The sequence below is a fragment of the Homo sapiens genome, chromosome 5 (genome assembly GCF_000001405.40).
Source record: "Homo sapiens chromosome 5, GRCh38.p14 Primary Assembly".
Classification (NCBI taxonomy): Eukaryota; Metazoa; Chordata; class Mammalia; order Primates; family Hominidae; genus Homo; species Homo sapiens.
The window spans coordinates 122,128,284-122,154,447 of record NC_000005.10 but is presented as its reverse complement, the minus strand read 5'-3'; the positions used below and the strand labels follow the sequence as shown (position 1 = coordinate 122,154,447).

Sequence of the window (26,164 nt, the reverse complement as noted above, 5' to 3'; positions counted from 1 at the left end):
TTTTTTTCTGTCTGTCTTTCTTTTTCTTTTTTTTTTTTTTTTTGAGATGCAGCCTCAGTCTGTCACCCAGGCTGGAGTGCAGTGCGTGATTTCAGCTCATTGCAACCTCCAACTCCTGGGTTCGAGCAATTCTCCTGTCTCAGCCTCCCGAGTAGCTGGGACTACAGTCATGCCCAGCTAATTTTTGTATTTTTAGTAGAGACATATTGGTCAAGCTGATCTTGAACTGCTGACTTCAGGATTTGGCCTCCCAAAGTGCTGGGATTACAGGCATGAACCACCACACCCGGCCTAATCTTAGTTTTCTTAAGAATCCATTATCCCTGCAGGCTGGGCTTTACATTATCCCCAAGTGCTGGGATTACAGGCATGAACCACCGCACCTGGCCTAATCTTAGTTTTCTTAAGAATTCATTATCTCGGCAGGCTGGGCTTTTCAAGTAGCAAGCCATGGAAAAAAGACTTTTACCACTTCCTGTTTCTCATAATTTGATATTCTGTAAGGTTGACACAAGACAAAGCAACCACAATCTGGTTTAATGGACAAAGAACATGGACCAGGCCCTATCTTGCAGGTAGCCATCCTCGTAAGCAACTCTCTCCAATCCTTGCCCATGGTGAAACTTTAGATAAAACCCTAAAAACTCTTTGCCATTCAAGCTGGGGGTTCCTGGGGTCATGCTTATTCACAATGGCCCAAGTGGGGGGGTCAGGGCCTTGTCTTCAGCCTGAACACAGGGCACAGAGCAGCAGCAGGAACCAAGCACCTCCCAGAATATAACCTAGTTGCTTCAGTGTCTACATTGGGGTTAATTTCCTACTTACTACAACCATGTACGTGTCAAAAGAAAAAATATGCTGTATTTACAGACCATGTGTATTTTTGCAAGTGCTTCAGTGTTTAATTGTTGCTAAAGTCATTGGGGGTTTTTGACACAGATTCTATTTTAGTAAGATAAACTCAGCATAACCCAGCATTGCCAAAAATGAATTCCTAAGGTAGATGACTAAAATAAACCGACAATAAATATTGGCTGTTGGAATGGGAATTATATCTCTGTAATGTAGACACAGCATTAATGACTCATTTTCAAATTACTGTCTCTCCCAGGGATTATTTGTATCAGGGATCAGGGAAGAAAGAAGTCCATCTCTTCTTCTTTTAGACAGCAGAATTGAAGAGGAATATGAACCCATCAGGCAAGGATGTTCTTATATCTATTCAGCCAAGAGAGGTATAGGCCCTGGAGTTCAACAGGGAGTTAACTTGAACAGGCTGCTTTGAGGCTGATACAAGGCATTGATAGAAAAAATACTAGGGGCTGAGGTGGCTGATTCTGGGGATAGTTTTCTCTTGTTCCCCTACAGGCAGAGGGCACCACCAGGTTCACCTAATGCGTCTTGTGTGGCATGAATTACCTTATCAGTTACACTGGGTGCTGCCCTGTTCCTTTGCTGCTTGGAATTAGTGTACTCTTTTAGGCCTCCTTTACTCCCTAAATTCAAATTCTGATATTTTGGCCCATAAGGATGAGTTTTACAACTTCTCTGGTGTACCAGGAGGCGGTCTGAGGTAAAGATTCGGCTACAATGTGGGCAGAACACAAGCTGAGCTTGATTTGGTCCCGCTTGGCTGGACTGTGCATTCGGAAGGGGCTGAGGCTTCTGTGGGAGTGGCTGGTGGAGCTCCACAGGGAGCCGGTCATTTTCCATTTTCCACTTTTCCAGGCATTTGGGCTCATGAATAGGAAGGGACAGGGTGCCAAATTCCTTACCACATATGTAGCAGATAACAGTCCTTGGTCGGGCTGGGGTTCCACTACAAGCTTTCTTGAGGCCAGTAAGATGATCAGAACTGTTTGAGTGTGGTGCTCTGGGACCCTCACCCTTTGGCTTGCAGCTTCTGTGATGAACAAGAAGATGATCTGGCAAGAATGTGCGGCCACAGGATTCACAGGGCAGCAGCTGAGCCTGGGCACTCTGAAATGCAGCCTCGTTAGTTGCCTGAAGACTGTAGGACCCACTGCTGCTGAGAGACTGTGGTTTGGAGGGTTCTGGCCTCCTCAAATGCTTGGGCAACTTGCTGTTTTCAATATGCCACTTCTGCAAGCACTGGGGTTCATGAATGGCAATTGACTGGGACCCAAATTCTCGGCCACAGATATAGCATACCCGGAATCCAGGCCTGCGGGCCGGGATCACAGGGGGGCTAAGCTGGCTTTCCGATATAATTCTTCTACTTGACAGTTTTGATAGTATCACAGTCCCAGGTCTCTTTTTCTGAGTGTCTGTCTTTATATTTTCACCAGGATTAACACTCTCTGTTTCTGGGGAAAGGCTAGAATAGGAGTCACTAGAGAGAAGCCCAGCTTGGTTGATAAGGAAAGTGGGTTCTTTAGAATGGTGAAAAGTTTGTTGTAACTTATTGGAAATTCTTTTCTTCTTTCCTCTTTCCATTAACAAAGATGTCTTTCTGTAGTGCTTGCTCTGATTTCAGGCCAGACTCACTTTGGGCTTCTGCTTAGAGTGAAGGTTAGTGAGGTTAGTTGTCCTGGGGTTCACACCGTTGCCAGTACCTTAGCCTCACAGACCGTGACTCAGAGCTTCATTGCAGGACGGCAGTCTGGAATGTTGGAAAGTCCTCATTAAAGCTGAGATGTCTCCAAGATCTGTGGAGGCGGGTGGGAGACATAAGAAGTTATTATGTAAACACACACACACACACACACACACACACACACATTTAGGTTGTTTTGTGTGTGTGTGTGTGCTTTTTTTTTGCTTGTTTTAAATATTGACCTTGTATACTTTTTGACTAGCACAGTAACCAGCATATGGGATTTGGTCAATAAACTGACATAAACCTGAGGAAATCTTCCATCATCAATTGCACTATCACTGTATTGAAAATCGTGTTCTGCCCAAAAAGTTAACTTGACAATTACAGCACATCATAGATACAGAAGACGCAAAGCAATAGAGGCTGAGACCAGGGTGGTGAGACCATAGAAGAGAAAACTGCAAACTGTGAATATTAGATTAATGAAATCAGCAGGTCATACGAAAAGACCCCCTGGGCCCCACAGAAACTTCCACTACGTCAGAGATCCTTAACTTGTTAGTGACATGGATTCCTTTGACAATTCTGTGAAGCCTATGCACTTCTCAGAATAGTATTTTTATAAGTAAAAATAAAAATTGTTGCTATCACAGGTGAAATCAGTTTTACTGAAATAATTTGTCAACTGTTTCTAGTTGTGATATACATTTTAATTGAGGTAAAGTTGTGTCACAGACTTCTTGAGTGTCCATGGACCTGAAATTAAGAACTCTTGCAGAAGAAGTAATTCAAGAATGAATCTTATGAGGATTATCAGGATAGCCCTCAGAGGGACATAAACTTCTTGTGACACATCATGTATTCACTTTTGTTTATTATGGGAATAGGGTATTAATAAAGTGGAGCTATAATTCTCCAGCAAAGAGTACAGCCTAGGCCGGCACCCATCCTGGTGGGATATCTGCAGATCTTTCATGGAAAGATGATACACAGATGCTGCTTGAGGCTCTTTTTTTATTAAAAAGGTATCATACCTACTTTCTTGTTTTATATATGTATGACTTCCAAATATTTTTAAATATAAAACAAAGGCCCTGGATTCCCCAAGGATCCCCACCAGAAGAAGTGGCAGCTTAGATATCCATTTATGGGAAGAATCTTAAATTTGTATATTGGGAAAAGTTATGAGTAAATTTTACCGTGGGTTTATAATCTGGCTCCCCAAAAAGATTATTTCAGAAGCCTCAGGACCTTTTTCATTTCCTTTATCGTTTCATTTATCAGGGTGATAAACTCTAAAGCATCCATTCTTAACCACAGAAGAGCAGCCCCTGGTATGAAGCTGGATCCTCTACATCACGGCAAACACTTCAGTTTGGACAGTGCAAGGCCAGCAGTCCTGGTAATATGGAAACCCTGGGCACTGGATTTGATAAAGAACAAGAAGAGCTGTGATATCTGTGCCCAGCTCCTGTACTTTGGTGCCAACAAAGGTCTGAATCCTTGCCTTTAAGAGTATCAAATCAGGTCTGGCACAGAGAAAGAAGTTATTCTTCATTTTGACAGATTCTAAGACAGTAATGTTAACAGATGTGGGAAAAGTATGTGTTGGCCCCAGAGTGGCCAGCATAGAAAATAAAACAGAGAAATTTATCACTCGATCAGTACCATCTAAAAGAGAAAGTAGATCTATGGAACATAGGAATAGGGTAAAATTATTTCATTAGGTTTTAAATCCAGCCCGTGGGTTATTTCCACAAACCATTCTGCTTTATTGGCTCTGTTCACCGAGGAATTTTAGTTTATCATTTTCCTTGATACTAGGAAATTGCAGACACTAATATGACTTAAGAAGACAGATTAGAAAAATCAATGCAATCAAATAAGCCTCCTTCCCCTAAATTGTCTCTGCCTCTCTTTCTCTCTCTCTGTCTCTTTCTCCCTCCCTCTCTCTCTCTCTCTCTCTCACGCGCGCACACACACACACACACACACACACACAGAGTCAATTCTGTTTCCAGCAGATTAGAATACTGAGAAATCCCCATGACTTTCCCCAGCAACCCCTCCATCTCCCTTTTGATAAGGCAAGAGAGGTAATATTTACTGAATGCCAATTATATGCCAGATAGGGCACAGATTTTTTGTAAACATAATTTTAGTTAATTCTCAAATGATTATGAAGCAGGTATTATTATTTCAACTTTATAAGTAAAGAAACTGACTCAGAAAAGACAAGTAATTTGCCCAAGACTGTCAGTTTCTAAATGACAGAACTGTGAATCAATTCCAGCTCTCTTTGGCTCCAATACGTGGCTCTTTCCATTATTCATTCTGCCTAAATTCCTCCAGCAGAGCTTCTTCCCTTTAGTTTTTATCCCTGTTTTAATGTATTATCCATATGCCTCAGGGGAAGGTAACTAAGCTCTCACCAGCTGTTATGCTTCCTTTTAGAAGAAAGAAGAGGCAAGAAGGAGGAGTGCAGACAAGGCACAGAGGAGAAGCCTCTGAGAGGGACAAAGCAGAAGAGAGAGACTGGGGCTATGGAACACAATGTTTTCAATGTTAAGTGACAGGGGACTTTTTTTCTTCAACTTTTATTATAGGTTCGGGGTACATGTGCAGGTTTGGTATATGGGCATATTGTGTAATGCTGAGGTTTGGAGTACACATGAATCTGTCTCCCAGGTAGTAAGCATAGTACCTAATAGGTAGTTTTTCAGCCCTTCCTCCGCTTGCATTCACTATCTGTTGTTCTCATCTTTATGCCCACGTGTACTTGACGTTTAGCTCCCACTTATAAGTGAGAACGTGTGGTATTTGGTTTTCTGTTTCTGCATTAAGAATCACTTTTTCCAGGCCGGGCGCGGTGGTTCATGCCTGTAATCCCAGCACTTTGGGAGGCCGAGGTGGGCGGATCACCTGAGGTCTGGAGTTTGAGACCAGCCTGGCCAGCATGGTGAATCCCCGTCTCTACTAGAAATACAAAAATTAGTTGGGTATGGTGGCTGTAATCCCAGCTACTCAGGAGGCTGAGACAGGAGAATCGCTTGAATCCGGGAGGCAGAGTTTGCAGAGAGCCAAGATCGCGCCATTGCACTCCAGCCTAGCTGACAAGAGTGAAACTCCATCTCAAAAGAAAAAAAAAAGAAAAAAAAGAATCACTTTTGCCATATACAGTTGTTTTCTAGATGTAGTTTTTCCTGAGTGATGTGCAGTACAGATTCTTTTCTTAATTTCACCAATATCTTCAGAAAAATCTACATAACCAGCAGAGGTAGGGACCAGTTGGGGGAATGGGGCAGACCAACGATGAATGATGTGTTTTGTCTGTCTTGATCATGGGCACAGGGTAAAAGTGAAGGCTGCCCCAAGAGGCCAGGTAGTGCTCAGTTTGAAGCCATGTCACCATTTGATTAGGGATAGATCTTACCGCACACAAACATTTGTGCACTGCAAATATTTTCTCTGCAGCAAACACGATGAAACATCACAAAACGTCCATTTGAATCTTCAACTTTTCTTTTTCTACCATCCCTTTCCTTCTCCAATGTTCTCCTGAAATTTTTCCCTTATTGTGACTAAAGGTATCAAAATATGAAAGATGAGGTAGCTGGAAGCCAGTGAAATTTTTGGGAACGGAGGTGTCTTATGGAGAAATGCGTAATGTTTCTGCCAGTGACTGTGCAAAGGCAACATGCCATGGCACAGCAGTGTTGGTTGCTCTCCCTTTATAAGTTAGCTCTAAAAGCAAAAGTGCTGGAAAATACTAAATGCATATACTTAAATCACATAAGAAATTGGCCTGTCACCCAAAACGTCATAAAGCAATGTTGCTAGTTTATAAAGAGAACCACTTTGCAAAGCCAGACAGTTTTACCTCAAGCATCTCTGGAGAAATGTTCACTCAGTTGGCCTGAATTATTCGTTTTGACCATATCTGCACATAGGACATTTACAGAATGTCCTGGAAGGCATCACCTTTTATCAACATGATGCCATTTTTCCATTCTCTTCAGGGTTCATGGGAAGGGAGAGACAAACACACAAAGAAGAATGTAATAACCGTGGAAATCCAAAAACCATCTTGGCATTAGAAGGTGTCTCTCTAAAAGAGAGGGAACAGAACACAATGAAAAGTGTGATCATATCTTTTAAAAAATAATCTAGTCCTTTGAGGATGAGTTCATGTCCTTTGCAGGGACATGGATAAAGCTGGAAACCATCATTCTGAGCAGACTGTCACAAGGACAGAAAGCCGAACACCTCATGTTCACACTCATAAGTGGGAACTGAACAATGAGAACACTTGGACACAGCACGGGGAACATCACACATGGGGGCCTGTTGTGGGGTGGGGGGATGGGGGAGGGATAGCATTAGGAGAAATACCTAATGTAAGTGATGATTTAATGGGTGGAGCAAACCAACATGGCACATGTATACCTATGTATCGAAACTGCACGTTGTGCACATTTACCCTAGAACTTAAAGTATATAAAAAAATCTAGCCCTTTGAAACAAAAGAAATATAGTTGATACATGATATGATCCCTTCTCTATTAGTATTGAATTCAAATTCTTTAAATGAACAAAAACATAAACAAGAAAGATGGAGTTGGGGCTGATGGTGGCTCTGATCAAGATTCTAAAATAGAGGAGGTTCATCTTCAATGTTGTTCACCCACCCCATTCAGCAGCCTCCACTCTCCAGCCTAGTATTCTTGTATGCTCACCAGTCCGTCTTACCTATGAAATCTTGCTTTCAAAAAGGAACTGATGGACTCATTTACACCAAGGCTTATAATTGATGAGATAATGTCCCTTCTAATGTCCGGCAGAGACAGTTAGTTCCTTACCAATAGCCATTCCACTCAACTCCCTCAATTAATAGAGCCCCAACTTTCAGCTGGGCACATCTACAAGCTCCTTTGTAGTTAGTGAAAATATTGTGTGGAACTTGTAAGAACAATTCTTGAAAAGGAAGAAGAGAACAATTGCTTCTCTTCCTTTCCTTCTTACTGATGCTTCGAAGATGGATGTGATGACTGGCGCTTTAGCAGCCAGTTGAGAACAGATTTCATTTATGTAACACTTGATATGACAGAGCAGAGGCCTGGATGGACTTGGGTCCCTGGTAATGCTGGAACCATCATAGAAGCCCTGGAGTGCCTTTCTTGGACTTTATTTACATAAGAAAAGTAAATTTTTATTTTTATTTTAGCCATTTTTAAGAGTCTGTTATTCACATGGAAACCTAATACTAATTGAGAGATATCTGTATTTTAATACTGGTGATTAGCACAATTCATCCTAATAATGTTATTTCAAATTTCAGATTTTTTTTGATGAAGGAATTTTTTTTGAGGGAGTAGAGGTTTGGGCGCAGAATTGACTTATTAAATATACACTTCTTAAAAATCAGAAATTTAAAAAATTGATACTATAAATACTGGATCAATGGTTCTTATGAAATTGATCACACTTCCTTTTTTAGAGATTCTTTTAAGAAAAAAAATTTAATGACTATTTTTTATTAAAAATAGCCTATTTTTTCCACAAGCTTATTAAAGAGCTAGCAGATAGCAAAATTGTGCCAGTTATTAACTTATTGTCTGTATACTCCCAACCTTCTTTTCTATATTTAGCTTTATGATATGGGTACAGGGACTATGCACAGCCCATTTCTGCTTTGCAAGCTGGCTCTGTGTTATGCTCTGCCAACAGGAATAATGGGAGGAGAATGCAAGAAGTGGGGAGCAAGAGGCCATTTAATCCTTTTAAAGGCTTCCTGTGTGCATGTGCTTGCTGTGAGCATTATTCCAGCAACACTCCTCTACTCCAGCAGCAGCAGTTCTTTTCAGTAGCAGCAGCTGAATCCAACCAAATTTGTAAAACCAGACAAACTGACCCTTCCCCACCAGATGCAATCACCAGCCAGTCTGTGCGTCCTCCTTGGAGATCTGAGTTTCAACTCCATAGGGTGCCTCTTCTAAGTTTCTAAATTTTAATAATTCAAACGGATGTAACAACCCTCAAAATATAAGTAATAATAATCTGTGATATTCAAGCTGCATATTACTTAAATATTGCAATAAATATAAATGCAAATTAATTCTTTCATAGAATCTTACAAAATAAGATGCTTATCTGAACATTTAATCCTCAACTCAGACCACTGAAAATGCATTTTTGTTATTTTTACACTATCGCAGTGCTTTAAGAGCTAGAATGTATTGTTCTTCCATTTTCCAGTAGATGAACAAATTCATAAGGGAAGCCTACTGTTCTAAGCATGCTTGTATTTTTTTAAATTTTATATGACACTCTTCACCTGCTGACCCCCAAGCCACAAGGCCACCACTGCCACAGAGGAAGCCATAGCAAAGTGATCCTACTCATAGACCAAAGATGACCAGGAGTGTTGAGGGCAGCTTGTCAGGCTCATTCTCACTGGTTCTGCATACTCTTTTCTAGGCAGCGTCTGGTACCATGGCATCTGCAGACCTCAGCCAATCTAATGTGAGTGGGAAAGGCCATGTGAGAGCAGCTGGGACCTAGAGGCAGTATGGTTTAAGAAATATAGGAGCAGCATTTGAAAGGTAAAAAGTGGAAACATTTTCATAAAAGCCACTTAGCCTGAGGCATGGCTTTGAGAAAATATTGGCATTTCTAGACTGATTATAAATAACTGATGAAAAAATTCCTTTTCTTTGTCTCCCCTTCACTATGAATAATTTTAGGTCAAGAAATAAGTTCTTTCACTTTCATTCAATCTAATTGTCAGGTATGAACATAATAGTCTATGGTGTTAGAAAAGCTATGAAAAAAGTGAGAGAAATGCACTCTTTGCGCTTCTAACTAGAGCCCTCTGCCAAAGGCATTTTATGTTGTTAAGGCTTATAATATCACCCTATGAAAACTACTGTTAGATCAAGCCTGTAATTTTCACTCTATATTGAGTATCCAAATCACAGAGTACCCAAGAGTCATGAATGCCACACAGGTATGATCATATAATTGTAATATTGACATTTGCAGTGGTGGAGCACTGGTTATACAAACCGTCAGTATAATCACATTAGAGGCCTATAATATATAGAAATCCAAAGGATAGCCCAAAAAAGAAAAAAGTGGAAGAGTCGAATAACAAGTCTTCAAAGGAATTTCACATGCCATATTTTCTCTCATTTAGGATAATTTTCTTCCAACAGGATAGCTCTATACCAATATGTCTTTTTCAATATTGTTTAAGCATTGGCTCATAGGCACATCTGGTCCATAGCTATGTTCCTTTTAGCCTGTAGAAAGTCAAAACTGCTTGACTTAGTTCCTGTTATTTTAAAATTGGGAGATGTCACATAAAATAAGGATTTTTGGTTTCTCTTGAAAAGTGGAAGAGCTGGCAGAACAGAGCCCACATTCCTGTGTGGCAACATCTAACATAAGCTGATGCTGAGTAACAGCTGTGCCTGTAGCTCAGAGAGCCAGCCTTTACTCTTCCAATGCTTCTCACTAGCCGGATTCACTAATTTATAGTTCATGCTTCTTGCTTGAAAGTGTCCTGTGGGGACATTTTTCTTCTTAATTAAATATTGAAAATCACTTCAAGGAACTGAGAATCCAACTGAAGTCTTCTAGGATATAATTGTTATAAATACAACATATTTATTAGTAAATATTTAGAATATTTAGGAAGGAATCTTCCTAATGAAAGTAGATTAGGGCTGAAATGCTTCGGTCTAGGAGGGAGGGTAAAATCCAAGAAGAAAAGACAGAATCGGTGACTTAAGAAGGAATTTTCATAAGTTATTAAAGGGTTATAGAAGATAATATATACATAACTTTAGAGAAAAAAATAAAGCAGCCAGTGTTTAGAACAGCTACAGGTGGGATTATAGAAGAAATAAAAAGAAAAAAAGGAAAACACAAACAGACAAAATTGTGTTTTGTGGATCACCTAAACTTTTTGGAGACATTCCCATAATTATTTATTGATCGGTTGATATCATAAGAGCTACTCTTCTATTTAAGACAATGGACCTTTCTTCACCATTAAATGACTCCCCAGATGAGGATTGTTAGATTATTAGTTTAAAGAAATAATCAGCCAATTAAAAGAACCATAAATAAGCTATTAGCAATATAGACCATAGTTGGATTGTAAAGATTTGCTCTGGAAATACTTTATAAGAGAATTATGCTTCCTTGTGGGGATTACAGGATTTGGTACACTTTTTCTTTCTGCCAAGCTGTCCATTTTGTCAAGAAATACCTATAAATTAGTTTGAACTGCAAACGTATAAGAACAGTATAGTAGCCCCTTCTCGACCTAGAATGAGATCTATAGCCATCAAGTGTCTAAAATTGATATATTATGGTTTTTAAACATTGGATGGAAAAATCCACAGATAACCATATTTTAGTATCTACATTTTAAAAGAACTGCAAATAGATGCATATGTTTGCCAGCCCCCATCATGTGATATGCTTGCACAGAGTTCCCACTGTCTTTATACTCTTGATTTAGTTGAACTCGGTGCGACACTTTTGACATAGACTTCTGAGCCACGCTGTGTTAGTATCAGAAGTGTGGTCACTTCTGTGTGTCCAGGTGGAAACAAACACAATGAAGAATAAAGTTGTGCATGAACGGAGCTGCTAGGCCAGGATAAATTGGCATAAGAGAGATGGGCTCACTGAATCCGGGAGGAACCTTTCTGATACATCACTCACTTACCTTACAGCAGTTTCAAAGTTGTGCCTTATTTCTGTCCACCTCCAGGAGGTCAGTGCCTCCTGGAGCCTGGCTAACACTTACACTGATTATCAATACCATTCATTACAGACATCAACACCCTTTGTTAATAATGCGCTCTCCACCCAAAGCTGTTTCTGAGGAAAATGCCTGGGAAGGAAGTCAAAAACAGCAGAGTCCATAAGGCAGGCTGGGTCTCTGCTGTGTGCATGAATCAATGTGCCTCTATTTTCTGATATGCTCGCCATGACGTTCCTGGCAGTGACTCTGGAGACCTGGTTGTTTGTGTGTGCCCACAAACTGAAGGCTGTTTCTGAACCTGGGCTTTTTGTTGCTGTTCTCCCCACATCTCTCATCCTTCTATGTGAATAAGTCATCAAAATATGATTGTCATACCATTTGACATCGCTGAATCATGGCAACAAGACTCTCTTTCATGGGCCACATAGTTAGAGCTCACTGATGATTCAGAATCCTCAGCCCTACAAATTCTCATTTCCCAGGAAAGCTTATACAAGATATCCACTGCTGGAGAAAACCACTAGAATGAGTCGCCTGGTGTCTAGGGGAAACGTTCATTCTTTGTGTCCCCAGACCCAAACAAACATGCAATGTGGTGATGGTTCATTTAAAAACCTCTTCAGCTTTTAGTTTAAATTTTTTTGTGGTTCAACATTTATAGAAAGCCTCCTTCCACTCCATGACCAATAACTCTCAACTGCCTTGTTCTGTCTGCCTTTAGTAAACACAAAGATCACGTGTATATTTTAAGTCACACATAAGATTGGAAATATTAGGATATTGGATGGGAAGAGTTTAATTTAAAATCAACTTTGTGGATGCTGATGTGTCCTATCTTTCTTGTGTTTTCAACAGGGTCTTTTTTCCCATCTTCTGTGTTCTATTTCACTTTGTTTCATTATTTCCACTATCTATCTGAGCTTTAAGTTTAGGACAACCCAATAAGAATACCCAATAAGGATAAGATGCCATTAGAAAGAGAGTGAAGAGTATAGCACCCTATGGTTGACACCCACTGCTAATGTCCTCTGGATTTTCCATTTGGCTGGAGAGAGAAGGCGATGCCAACAATTCCAGCTCACTACTAGAAAAATGTGGCTTATATCTTAACTTCATTATATTCTGGAGAAAGCAGCATTAGAAGTGAGGGGCCCAGTCTAATCACATGAGTCATCAAATGTGGAGAACTTCTTCCCCAGTCAGTGAGAGATAGACAGCAGCAGAAAAAATTTCAAGTGTGAAAGGGCCTCAATTAGCTGTTCCAAAGAAGGGGTCTAAGAGTTAAAAAATGCAGGCACCTCTTGAAGGCAGGAAGACCAAGGAAACAGATTCTCTCCTACTGCCCCCAAAAGAAAGATGATCGTGCTGTGAGCTGGGTGTAGAGGTTCATGCCTGTAATCCCAGCACTTTGGGAGGCCAAGGCGGGAAGATCACTTGAGTCAGGAGTTCAAGACTAGCCTGGCCAACATGGTGAAACCTCATCTCTACAAAAAATTAGCTAGGGCCGGGTGCAGTGGCTCATGCCTGTAATCCCAGCACTTTGGGAGGCTGAGGTGGATGGATCATGAGGTCAAGAGATCAAGAACATCCTGACCAACATGACAAAATCCCGTCATTACTAAAAATACAAAAATTAGCCAGGTATGGTGGCACATGCCTGTAGTCCCGGCTACTTGGGAGACTGAGGCAGAAGAATCACTTAAACCTGGGAGACAGAGGTTGCAGTGAGTCAAAATTGCACCATTGCACTCCAGCCTGGCAAGAGAGGGAGACTCCCTCTCACAAAAAAAAAAAAAAAAAAAAAAAAATAGCCAGGGGTAATCCCAGCTACTCGGGTGTCTGAAGCATGAGAATAGCTTGAACCTGAGAGCTGGAGGCTGCTGTGAGCTGAGATCGCGCCACAGCACTCCAGCCTGAGCAATAGACTGTTTCCAAAAATAAAATAAAATAAAATAAAATAAAATAAAATAAAATAAAATAAAATAAAATAAAATAAAATAAAATAAAATAAAAAATAAAAAAATAAAAGCTGAAAACACATTTCCATTTTGTGGTGTCATTTCCTATATGGAATCCTAACCTAAAATGGATCCCCCATCCTGCTGTGCCATGACACTTGTGTGTAACCCCATTAAATGTCCCCTTGGCATCAGTAGCTCATGGGTATTGCTGTTTATCCAGCTCATACCCATTCTGTATGCTCTACATAAACATGAGCAAAGCAAGGATAAAATTTGGAATATACTGTAAAATAGCACAAGAACATTGGAGATGCTGCCTGTGGTGCCCAGAAAGAAGTAGATTTCATTTTAATACAGGAGTGAGACTGAATATTTTGTCTATAATTGAGCCAGATTTGGAAATTCTCCACAGGTAGAAGAGTGTCAAACAAAGACTAATGATAGCATTAACATGATGTAGCTGTCCCAAAGATGGGGGTCCCTTACTCTTTTCCTGCCTGTATGCTCCCTTTGGATTTAATTGCAGTTTATAGTTGTATACTAGGTGTATTTCACTCTGTTTTGTTTTATCATACTATGATCTTTTAAAATATATCTTGCCACTCAGATGTTAAGAATTAATGTTAATTTTTTAGGTTTGATGACATTATAATTGTATTTTTTATTGTAATTTTTACTGAGATAATTGTAGATTCATATGCGGTTGAAAGAAATAATACAGAGATCCCTTGTACACTTGCCCAGTTCCCTCAAGGGTAACATTTTGCAGAACTATAGTGTGGATATTATACTATAATAATACCTCAACCAAGTTGTTGATGTTGATACAATCTACTGAGCTAAGTCAGAATCCTCAGTTTTATTTGCACTCGTATGTGTATTAAGCTCTATATAATTTTGTCAACTGTTTAATAAGTATCCACTACTGCTGTTTTTAATAAGAATTTATCACATTGGTAGCATCTGAATTTTGGTTGGAATTAAATTTCAACATGAATTTTGGAAGGGACAAAACATTCTACAGTAATACCTAGGGTTTCCAATTCCAGGGTCTAGAAGAGCTCTTCACCTGTGAGAGTTTTCCGTGATGGTCTGTGGTTAGCCCAGCTTCTAGGCAAACTTTTCAGAGAATTCCATTGGCCTACATTCATGGGACACCAATAATAGGCATCAGGAACATCCTCTTTTTTCACTCTTCTCCTTTACCTTTCCTGTCCACTGTGCTTGTAAGTCCTCTCTACGAAGACCACTCCATTAAATGCAAATATGGCAAATAACTCCTAAGCTGCCTTAAAAGCTTTTTTCTTCTCTATCTTGAGAAATAACAAGTTTACTCTGGATCCCAGGGCAGGAACGTGCAGATGTGATGTCATGTCCTTATTTCTTTTCAACAGGCATTAACAATTTCTTAATATTTCACTTTTATTCAGTCACTACTCTTTCTTCCCAACTTAAGTGTTATAAGCTGATTTTCATCTACTTGTTCACATCATCATGTTCCTTGTTTTCTAGTTTTTCAAATACCAGGATCTTATAGTACCATAATTATATGGAAAAAATACACAGAATGGGCTGAACTACCTGAAGACATTATGAAATCAATATTTGAAAATTCATACATTTAGGGTTTGTCCTGTAAATATCATGAAGTAATGACAATTTTTTAGGTCACAAATCTTGATCCTTTTTAGTTGACTGCAAAATTCCAGTTATAAAATTGACAATAAAATAAATTTGGTTACATGAAAGATCATTACATTTTTAGGGAATGATAATGAAGCCTGTTTCATATAGGCAAGGAATGGGTAATGTTAATTTAAATAATTTTAGCTAAAACAGCATTCCTGTGCTACTTCTGGGAATCTCTGTTGAAAACTTTATTTAGAAACTGCTTAACACACATAAATGCCCCAATAGTTCAAATAATTAAACTCCGTTTGACATGGTATTTTACATTGGAAACAGGTTAACTGAAGGGGAAAGTGTGGTTTTAATTTTTGTTGATTGAAATGTCATATGTTTCATATATAAGATGGTTCACTTGGAACTGAACAGATAAAGCAATCCAAGATTTATCTGATTTTAATGTTTTACAATCATTTAGTACTTTTGAGTGGAAATGCCATGAACTGATTCAAGGAATGTAAATATTAACTTTTATTACACATTTATGATTTTAAAATGAACCAAAATGGAAAAAGTCTTTCACAAAATAATTATATATTTTTCCATTCTTTCAAAGGATATGTATACTTGATTGTCAAGAAAATAGAATTTTATCAGTTATACTTATTATCACCTCACTGAAGACTCTGCTTCCAATTGTTCAGACACATGAATACACATACACATACACACACACACATACACACATACATCACAGACCTTATGCATTCCTCTCCATATTTCTTCCGGGTCAAGGGGATGTATTGATAATCAATGTTATAATCTTCATTTAGTAATTAATCCATGCCACAATGCTAGTCCATCTGACACTTATTTAGTGATGATATGCTGGATTGTAACTAGGTCATATGGTACTAATAAGGACAATTGTTGGCTGAGAGTCTAACTGAAACTCGAGATTTGAGTCTTTGCCCAATTGCCTTTTTCTTCTATTTCCAGTCCTCACTACTCTTCGTTTTGTTCTTTGTTCATTTCACAATAATTTCACTAAAATAACCTTTTGAACATATCTTTGAACTTGGGAGAAGTCTCATTGGTGGTGAGGCCAGGCTGAGAAGATCATGAGGATGTTTGCCTTTGCCTCAGCTCTTCAAGTAGATTCCCCCTCTTATTGTGGGTTTGCATGTGAAATGCAAGGTAAGGAATTAGACAGTGAGGGAAAAGGGAAAAGGCACTAACAGACACTCTAAACAATATTTAGCATGTTTTTGTTTCCTATGTGATTGCCCATTAATAATTTGGCTGAAAAAAACATCTTATCCTATTCTATCATCTTCTTATATTTTCCTTCTGCTCCCCTTCTCATCTTAGTATTTTCTGCCTTTGCATTTTAATATATCTCCTTTCCCATGATTTTTCACTCCTGTCTTCATTCTACCCATTTGATATTGGATAACCTCTTGTGATATTACATCAATTTATGTAGAAGCATTTCCATATCTAGCATTGAAGTGGTTGGTTATTCCTTTTGGCTGTTTTGCCTGCACTCATAAATCTAATGCCAGGCAGGTGAACGGGTGCGCCTCGCATCTGTGGGCTGTTTCAACCACATAGGTGAAGAGGCACTTCCGCTCTCAACCCTCATCTATCCTTTTCAGAGCAGTCACATTTAACTCCTTAAGCTACAATCACAACTTAAACCTCTGCTGACTGACTGCTCCATGGTTGTCCCACTACTCTCAAAATAAAATCCAACCTCTTGACCTTGAATGCCCTCTGTAACCTGGTACCTCCCTCAGTCTCTGCCTATCTCCTTTTGCTCTCCCTTTTCTGCACCATGCTCCATCCATGTTCATCTCTCAGTTCCTCAGGCAAGTCAAACTCTCTCTTACTTTGGGGTAGACTGGGGGAGGGACTGGGAAGAGGCTTTGCACATGCTCTTGCCATTGCCTAGAATCTTCCTCCAGTTCTTTGCTTAGCTTTCTTATTTTATCCTTCAGGTCTCTATTTAAATATTGTCAACTCAGGCCTTTCTTAACTACTCTTTTTTTTTTTTTTTTTTTTTTTTTTTTTTTGAGACAGAGTCTCACTCTGTCACCCAGGCTGAAGTGCAGTGGCATAATCTCGGCTCACTGCAACCTCTGGCTCCAGGTTCAAGCGATTCTCCTGCCTCAGCCTCCCAAGTAGCTGAGATTGCAGGCACCTGCCACCACGCCTGGCTAATTTTTGTATTTTTAGTAGAGATGGGCTACTGTTGTTGCCCATGTTGGCCAGGCTGGCCTTGAACTCTTGACTACTCTTTTTCAAGTAATTTCTTTCCCTCTGTCCCAAACACACACACTTACACACCCACCTGCACCCATACACATGCACATACACATGCCCATTCATGTTCATTCATGGAACTGATATCACCATCACCATCCATCATAGTTATGTTCAGTGATGCCACTGTTTATCATCTTTACAGCACTCAGCACCTATGTTTTTGTCTGTTTGTTTGCATGTGTAATATTTATCTCTTTAAATTGCATGTGAACTTCGAGACAATAGAGACTTACTTGCTCTCTACATAGTTATATCACCAGCACCTCGCCCAGTGCCAGGCACATTGTAGGTCATAACAAAATAAATTTAATGTTGACCTAGCTGAGTGAGATTAGCTTGATGTTATATTAAATTTTTAAACAAAACTGAAGTTCATTATTTATATGAGGAATAAAAAACATAAAGGGGCTTTTGGAAAAGAAGTGTTATCAGACAGCTTTGTAATATTTTCTCAAGTCTTACACATATGTGATCATTTAATTCTTGTTCATTTTTATAATACTATCTCAAGGAATTAGAATTATAATAATATTATAGCTTTAAAAGCATAACTATACTGAATCCAAGATAAATGAGAATCTCTCCAAGGACCATGAACTAGACCAAGCACTATACCTCATGGTAAAGATTATCAAGTAGTGAGCAACCAGAATAGATGTGCTGCTGCTCCCTAGAGAATGGACCTAGACAGGCACACCAAAGGTAGCCATACGAGCAGCTAGTCACTTGTGCTGGGGGCACTGCCTAACTAGGTAGAAAGCTGAAGGAGAATCACAGAGTTTGGCTTCCCTGAGCTAAGTTTATTCATACATTGTTTTTCTTGACCACATATGTTCTGAGTGCTAATGACTTTCAAAATTTAATTTCCCTTGGAAATCAGATATCTTCTTTTTTAAATTTTTAATTATTATGAATACATAATAGTTGTACATATTTATGGCATAGGTATGATATTTTGATATAAGCATACAACATGTAATAATCAAATGAGGGTAATTGGGATATCTACCTCCTCAAGCATTTATCATTATTTTGTGTTGGGAACATCACAATTCTAGTCTTTTCATTATTTTGAAATACTTACAGTAGCTTATTTTTAACTATAGTTGCCCTGTTATGCTCCTGAACATTACGTCTTATTCCCTCTAACTGTATTTTTAGGCTCATTAACCAACCCCTATTTATTCATTTCCCATTACCCTTCCCAGCTCTGGCAACCATCATTTTACTCTCTATCTCAATGAGATCACATTTTTTTTTTTAGCTCCCACATTTGAGTAAGAACATGTTCTACTGTCCTTCTGTGCTTAGCTTATTTCACTTAACATAATGTCCTCTAGTTCCATCCATGTTGTTGTAAATGACAGGATTTTACTCTTTTTATGGCTGAATAATATTCCATTGAGTATATGTGCCACATTTTCTTTATCCATTGATCCACTGATGGACACTTATCTTGACTCCATACCTTGGCTCTTGTGGATATTGCTGCAATAAACATGGGAGTGCAGATATCTCTTTGGCATACTGATTTCAACTTTTTTTGGCTATATACCCAGCAGTTAGTTTGCTGGATCATATTGTAGTTCTACTCTTAGTTTTGTGAGGAACTTCCATACTGTTCATAGTGGCTGTACTAATTTACATTCCTACCAACAGTGTACAAGGGTTGCCCTTTCTCCACATCCTCGCCACCAATCAATATTGCCTGTCTTTCTGATAAAATCCATTTTACCTGAGATGAGATGATATCTTGTTTTAGTTTTGATTTGCATTTCTTTGATGATTAGTGATGTTGGACATTTTTAGACTGTTTGCATGACTTCTTTTGATATATGTATATAGACCTTTTGCCCATTTTTAATTTTTTTCTAATTAAAAAAATTTTTTGAGATGAAGTCTTGATATGTTGCCCAGGCTGGTCTCTAACTTACGGCCTCAAGTGATCCTCCCACCTCAGCCTCCTGAGTAGCTGGGATTATAGGTGCATGGCACCAAGCCTGGCTTTTTGCCCATTTTAAAAATGTATAATTTGGTTTTTCACTATTGAGTTGTTTGGGCTCCTTATATTATCTGATAATTAATCCCTTGTCAGATGGGTAGTTTGCAAATATTTTCTCCAATTTGTGGGTTGTCTCTTCACTTTGTTGATTGTTTTCTTTGCTCAGTAGAAGCTTTTTAGCTGGCTGTGATCCCATTTGTCCATTTTTGTTTTGGTTGCCTGTGCTTTTGAGATCTTACTCAATAAGTCTTTGACCAGACCAATGTACTAGAGTGTTTTCCCAGTGTTTTCTTCTAGAAGTTTTATAGTTTTATGTTTTAGATTTGATTTAGTCCTTTTTGATTTGATTTTTTTCTATGGAGAGAGATAAGAGTTTCATTTCATTCTTCTGCATATAATTATCTAGTCATCTCCCTTCTAAAGAGAACCCCCAAGTACCAGGCACTCAAGAAGAACATTTTCAAGGCCACAGGCCTTTCAGTATCAATGTATGATTTTTGGAAGGTATCTCATCAGAACTCCTTGAACATTAGAAGGGCTGACACACTATGGCCTACAGGATAAATCTGGCCATCGTTCAGCTCTTTTGTAAATAAAATTTTATTGAAATACAGCCATGTTTATTCATTTATGTTTGTCGTTGACTGCTTTTGCCCTACAATGGCAGAGTGTATGGCTTACGAGCCCTTAACTATTTACCATTTGGGCAAAGACAAGAAAATTTTCTAACCCTTCTGTTAGACCATTTAAATTAGATTTCATTTTAACATTAAGACATCAAGTTATTAATCAATGTGAACTTATAGCACTCAATGCAACCAGAATCCTACTAAGTGCTGTCTGCACAGAACTCCATAAGGCTCCTGTTAGAGTCTCCTCTCAAACAAATGCTTGGCTGCATTGCACCTTGGGGGACCTTCTATTTGCACTTTGCCATTCTTTTTAAATGATTAACAACTTGCCTTCTTTATATTCTCCCTCTCTGCTGCTCCCAACATAGTGTATTCCTATTGCCATATTTGTGTGCAATGATATTTAGAAATTGTTTCTTCGTGTTTGTAAGACTCCGCAGAAATCATCACTGATCCCTCAGGAAGGGTGTTCTGGAATTGTTCACATTCTTCACCATTTACAACTTACTTCTGGAATTGCATATAATCCTGAAAATGTATCATTCACCCAGATAGTCTGGGAAAATGAGTTAAAATAAGATTACATATTTATTCAAATTATGTAGACCCAGAGAAGAAACAGTCATATGAAGGTCCAGTTGGTAAAACTAAAAATTCTCTTAGAAATAATAGATAAGATTTGAATTCTAAAATAAGCTGGAGCTGGGCGCTATGGCTCACGCCTGTAATCTCAGCATTTTGGGAACCAGGGTGGGAGGATTGCTTGAGCTCAGGAGTTCAAGATCACCTTGGGCAACATAGTAAGATCTCATCACTACAAAATGTAAAAAATATTAGCCAGGCATGGTGGTGCACACCTGTAGTCCCAGCTACTTGGGGGACTGGGGTAGGAGGATCGCTTGAGCCCAGGAGGTCGAGGGTGCAGTGAGCTGTGATTGTGCTGCTGCACTCCAGTCTGGGTGACAGAGCAAGACCCTTTCTCAAAGAAATGAATGAATGAATAAAATAATCTGGAAAATGCAACTAATAGAAATAATAGTTTACATTTTAGGCTCAAAAGAAATAGGTATTTTATGGAAGTGATAGCAAGATTTGGAGATGCTGGAAAATATTTTTTCTTAGTTAACATTTGAATGTTTATAATTTTCTGTCAATTCGTAAGAATATGTGATGACATTTATTCTGATGCATATTTGACCAGGTATAGATTTTTCTCTGTAATTGTGAGAAATATACTGTTAAACAGGAAACAGAGCTGATGTTATAAATAATGTTTTCTTGCAGAAATTATGAACAAATAAATATTCTCCTCCTGCTTTTTCCTGTCTAGAACAGTGTCTGGAATATAGTAGATGCCCAATAAATTACTGAATAAATTAACAAATAAAAATTAAGTTCAAGTCACATTCTATATTAATGGGCTTGAAAAATACTTATTTTTTTCACTGGGATTATGATTCCTGAATAAGATTATAACTATATTTTTGGCTTTTGCTTATTACAGAATCACTTAAAATAAGGTTGCTGCCTGGGGAAACATTTGGGCAACATGCAAGGAGGACTGCCCAACCTGATTCTAATTCTTGCGTATGGTTCACTAGTAAGCAGTCATGGAAGAATTCAGCTTCCATATTTATTCTGAATACTTGCTTCAGGTATTCAAATAATATAAGTTGGCTTATTAAAATTAATATGCCAATAAGGATAGACAAACAGATCCATGTAACAGGATAGACAGTCCAGAAACATATGGTCAATTTACATACATGATCAATTCATTTTTGATGAAGATGCCAAGACAATTCAATGGAGAGAGGAAAATCTTTTTAACAAATGAGAGTGGAACAACTGGATGCACATAGGGAGAAAATATCAACTCCCTACTTTCACTACACACAAAAATTAACTCAAGATGGATCATGGAACTAAATATAAAAGCAAAAATGATAAAACTTTAAGAAGAGAATATCTATGATCCTAATATTTGCAAAGATTTGTTAGACAAAACACAAAAGAACTAAGTATAAAAGAAAACATAATAAATTATACTTTCTCTTAATTATAAACTTCTGCACATTAAAAAAATTAAGAAAATTAAAAGGCAAGACATAGATTGGGAAGAACTGTTTGCAAGACATATATTTAAAAATTGGATTATCTAAAAATTTAACTTTATAAAGTTAAATTCTAAAATACCCAATGGTATTGACATTTTAAATAATTACCTAAAAAAATGAAAGTATATGTCCACAAAAAGTCATTTACAAATGTTTACAGTAGCTTTACTCATAGTAGTGAAAAACTGGAAATAACATAAATATACATCAATGGATAAATGAATACAAAATTATAGCATATTCATACAATAGAATATTGTTTCACAATACAAATGAACAAACTACTAATATACACTACATGGATCCCTTTGAATAATGTGCTGCCGAAAAAGTCAAATGCTAAAGAAGTATAGGTACTTAATTATTCCATTTCTATGAATAAGCAAAGCTAATCTGTAGTGACAGAAAGTATATCAGTTATTGTTTGGTGGGTAGGTGCATGAAAGGAAAATTGACTACAAAGGTTAATGGACGTTTTCTTATATTTACGTCTTTGTTGGTTCATGGATATAATCATTTGTCAAAACTCATCAAATTTTGTACTTAAAATGGGTGCATTTTATTATATGTGAGTTATACATCAATGAAAAAGACATTAAAAAGAAAAAATGTTAAATGGGTAAAAGGTATGAATAGATAATTTTTAAAAAGATACAAATCTCCAAGAAGTTCATGAAAAGTACTCCATTAGTCATCAGGAATATGCAAATTATGACCACTGTGACATATTATTCCATATTTATTACAAATATCTACCCTATCACTCATTAGTTTCACTCCTGGGTCCGAATCCAGAATAAATAAAAACATATATCTAATAAGACTTGTGCAGGCTTCTTTTTTTTTCCCCACATATAAGTGAGATCACATAGTGTTTGTCTTTCCTTATCTGGCTTATTTCACTTAGTATAATGTCCTCAAGTTTCACCCATGTTGTTGAAAATAGCAGTATTTTCTTCTTTTTTAAGGTTCAATAATATTCTATTGTATGTTTATACCACATTTTCTTTATCCATTTATCTGTTGATAGATAATTTGTTACCACATATGGACCATTGTTAATAATGCTGCAATGAACAAGGAAGTGTAGATATCTCTTTAATATACTAATTTCATTTTCTTTGGATATATACCCAGCAGTGGGATTGCTAGATCAGATGGTAGTTCTCCTTTTAACTTTTTGAGGAACTTCCATATTGTTTTCCATAATCCATAATGGCTGTATTAAATTACAATCCCACAAACAGTGTATAAGGGTTCCCATTTCTCCACATTCTCACCAACACTTGTTATCTTTTATCTTTTTAACAGCCATTCTCACAAATGTATGGTAATATCTCCTTGTGATTTTTATTTGCATTTCCCTAATGATTAGTGATGGTGAGCATCTTCATATACCTACCTGTTGAGTGCAATAATGGTTACCATGAGTGGAGGATGAGACGAAGGGAAGATAGGCAAAGGGTACAAACCTTCAGCTATAAGATGAGTAAATGCTAGAAACCTAATGTACAGCATTGTGATTATAATTAAGAATTATTATAATTAATAATAATTGAAATGTGTTAAGATAGTAGATCTCAAGCATTCTCACCACAGCCAAAAAAAGGTAACTATGTGATATGATGAATACTTCAATTAGCTTGATTGTGGTAATCATTTCACAATGTCTACATATGTCAACACATTTCATGAGAAACCCCAAATACATGTGATTTTTATTTGTCAGTCATACCTCAATAAAGCTGGAAAAAAGTTAGACATAAAAAATAAAATTAGGAGAAAAATACTTTGTGGAAGAATCTTTATAGCTGCTTTAGCTATAAGAGGACCAAACTAGAAACAAACAAACTACCAATCAATGTAATAAACAAATGTAAAATAAGCATATAATGCAATTATACTTACCTTTAAAAAGAATTGTACTACTGACTTAAAAACCCACATTGAAATGCTTGAAAAAACATTCTGCTGAGCCAGAGACGTCAGTCTGACAATATAATATATATGGTATCATTCTATTCATATAAAGTTCATGAATGGCCAACTATTCTTTGAGGACAGAAATCAAAACAGTGGCCCCCTGTGGAGGGAAGATTGGCTGGAAAGGATGTGAGGAAACATTCCAGGGTGAAATAAATGTCCCGTGCCCTGACTGAGGTGACCATGACATGGTTGTATATACCTGTTAAACTCATTGATTTTAGAAACTTGAATTTAAGAACTCAAGATTGGTTACAATTTACTCCATGTTGATTTTATCTCAAATAATTAAAAAAAAAGCCAAGACAACTGAGTAATTATAGCCTTTAATACCCCTTTTCTTTCATGGATAATCTGGCTAATAAACATATAGTTCTGAATTAATGTTAAAACCTGACTTCATCTACTTTTCTTTGAAGAAAGTTATTTTAAAAATCATTCTTTTAAATACAATTTTATTATTTTTTAGGTATTAGAACATCTAATCCATAGTTCACTCATCATTGTCAGCATCCAAAGAAGTAAAATGACATTTATTGTTTTGTTTAGTAATACTTGAGATTTTTCACTTAAGAACTAATTATTATTATTATCGTCATTTGTATTTCTTCCCAATAGCAAGGAAATATTTACTGAATACTGGTGAGAAGCCAATGGAAGAGAACAAGAATATCTAAGAGAAGCAGTTGTTATTAGTTGAAAGGTTTAAGACCTACCAGACAACAGAGAATGCACACACCCTGCGAGAGCCTCACCTTGTGACATTTGTTCTTTACCTTTTTATTTTGCCTTTTAGCATGGCATGCTGAGCACCTCTGAGTTTTCAGGGAAGGAGCTGACAGAAACAGGAACAGAATAGCTGGGAGCTCCAAGATTCACATTCCTTGCAGGAGCTGGTGTGAGTTTTTGAGGCTGCTGAGTAACAGGAACCGCAGTCTTTGTTGCCTGGATGTATCCTGGCAACCTGTCAACAAAAGGGACGGGACTGAGTTCTCTAGTAACTGATGGGAAACAGAGCAAAGTAGGTATGGATTTCAGCTTTCTTTTAAATTGACTCCAGGAACTTTACCGATGGACTGAGCAACCAACAGGGACAGATAAATTTAAGTCACAGGCTCTTCTTGATGTAGAAACACAGCGTTTTATTTTAAAGAAGAAAAGAAAACAATATTTACTGATTATCTTATTGATCTTTTCTAGGGACTTTAAAAAATACTGTAACGGTTAATATTGAGTGTCAACTTGATTGGATTGAAGGATGCAAAGTATTGTTCCTGGGTGTGTCTGTGAGGGTGTTGCCAAAGGAGATTAACATTCCAGTCAGTGGACTGGGAAAGGCAGACCCACCCTCAATCTGGGTGGGCACCATCTAATCAGCTGCCAGTGTGGCCAGAATAAAGCAGGAAAATGTGGAAGGACTTGACTTGCTGAGTCTTCTGGTCTTCAGCTTTCTCCCATGCTGGATGCTTCCTGCCTTAGAGCATTGGACTCCAGGTCTTCAGCTTTTGGACTCTCGGACTTACACCAGTGGTTTGCCAGGGGCTCTCAGGCCTTTGGACACAGACTGAAGGCTGCACTGTCGGCTTCCCTACTTTTGAGGTTTTGGGCTTCCCTACTCCTCAGCTTGCAGATGGCCTATTGTGGAACTTTACCCTGTGATCATGTGAGTCAATACATTTTAATAAACTTCCCATCATATACACATCTATTCTATTAGTTCTGTCCCTCTAGAGAACCCTGACTAATACTAATACCATCTATATAGAAGAGCTTGGGCCAGTCGCAGTGGCTCACACCTGTAATCCCAACACTTTGGGAAGCTGAGGCGGGTGGATCACCTGAGGTCAGGAGTTCAAGACCAGCGTGGTCAACATGGTGAAACCCAGTCTGTACTAACAATACAAAAATTAGCCGGGCATGGTGGCACACACCTGTAATCCGAGCTACTTGGGAGGCTGAGGCAGGATAATCGCTTGAACTCGAGAGGTGTAGGTTGCAGTGAGCCAAGATAGCGCCGTTGCACTCCAGCCTGAGCAACAAGAGCGAAACTCCATCTCAAAAAAAAAAAAAAAAAAAAAAAAAAAGAAGAAGAAGAAGAGCTTGGTCTCCTCTAAAACAGGGAAGATGGATAGTCTCCATGGCTCTCAAAGCATGTTCTATGTTTTGGTCTAAAAGG

General features: G+C 38.1%; 1 protein-coding gene and 1 long non-coding RNA gene across 2 annotated transcripts in view, besides 1 other annotated feature; one reads left to right on the top strand and one right to left on the bottom strand.

Moving 5' to 3' along the window:
- The window catches only part of ZNF474-AS1 (ZNF474 antisense RNA 1), a 41,478-nt gene that overhangs the window by 447 nt on the left and 14,867 nt on the right, over nt 1–26,164 (top strand). The window contains exons 2-4 of the long non-coding RNA XR_007058915.1: nt 3,845–5,124; nt 9,038–9,162; nt 24,607–25,651. This is a non-coding gene — a long non-coding RNA (ZNF474 antisense RNA 1). The remainder of the gene's footprint in view (nt 1–3,844; nt 5,125–9,037; nt 9,163–24,606; nt 25,652–26,164) is intronic.
- ZNF474 (zinc finger protein 474) lies at nt 879–24,902 on the bottom strand. Its single transcript, NM_207317.3, has 2 exons — nt 24,765–24,902; nt 879–2,669 (listed from the first exon to the last, which is right to left on the bottom strand). The coding sequence occupies exon 2, from the start codon at nt 2,455–2,457 to the stop codon at nt 1,363–1,365; it is 1,095 nt and encodes a 364-aa protein (NP_997200.1). The 5' UTR covers nt 2,458–2,669; nt 24,765–24,902; the 3' UTR covers nt 879–1,362.
- Nucleotides 24,313–25,512: an enhancer, noted in NCBI's record as "BRD4-independent group 4 enhancer chr5:121464631-121465830 (GRCh37/hg19 assembly coordinates)". NCBI's record gives its function as "activates an origin of replication core promoter dependent on BRD2, P300/CBP, MED14 and CDK7 cofactors, and independent of BRD4, by STARR-seq in HCT116 cells {active_cell/tissue: HCT116}" and the evidence as "EXISTENCE:reporter gene assay evidence [ECO:0000049][PMID:35650434]".

Coding starts and splice junctions, on each gene's coding strand:
- ZNF474 (NM_207317.3), bottom strand. CDS start 2,457: ATGGAAAGAGGAAAGAAGAAAAGAATTTCCAATAAGTTACAACAAACT.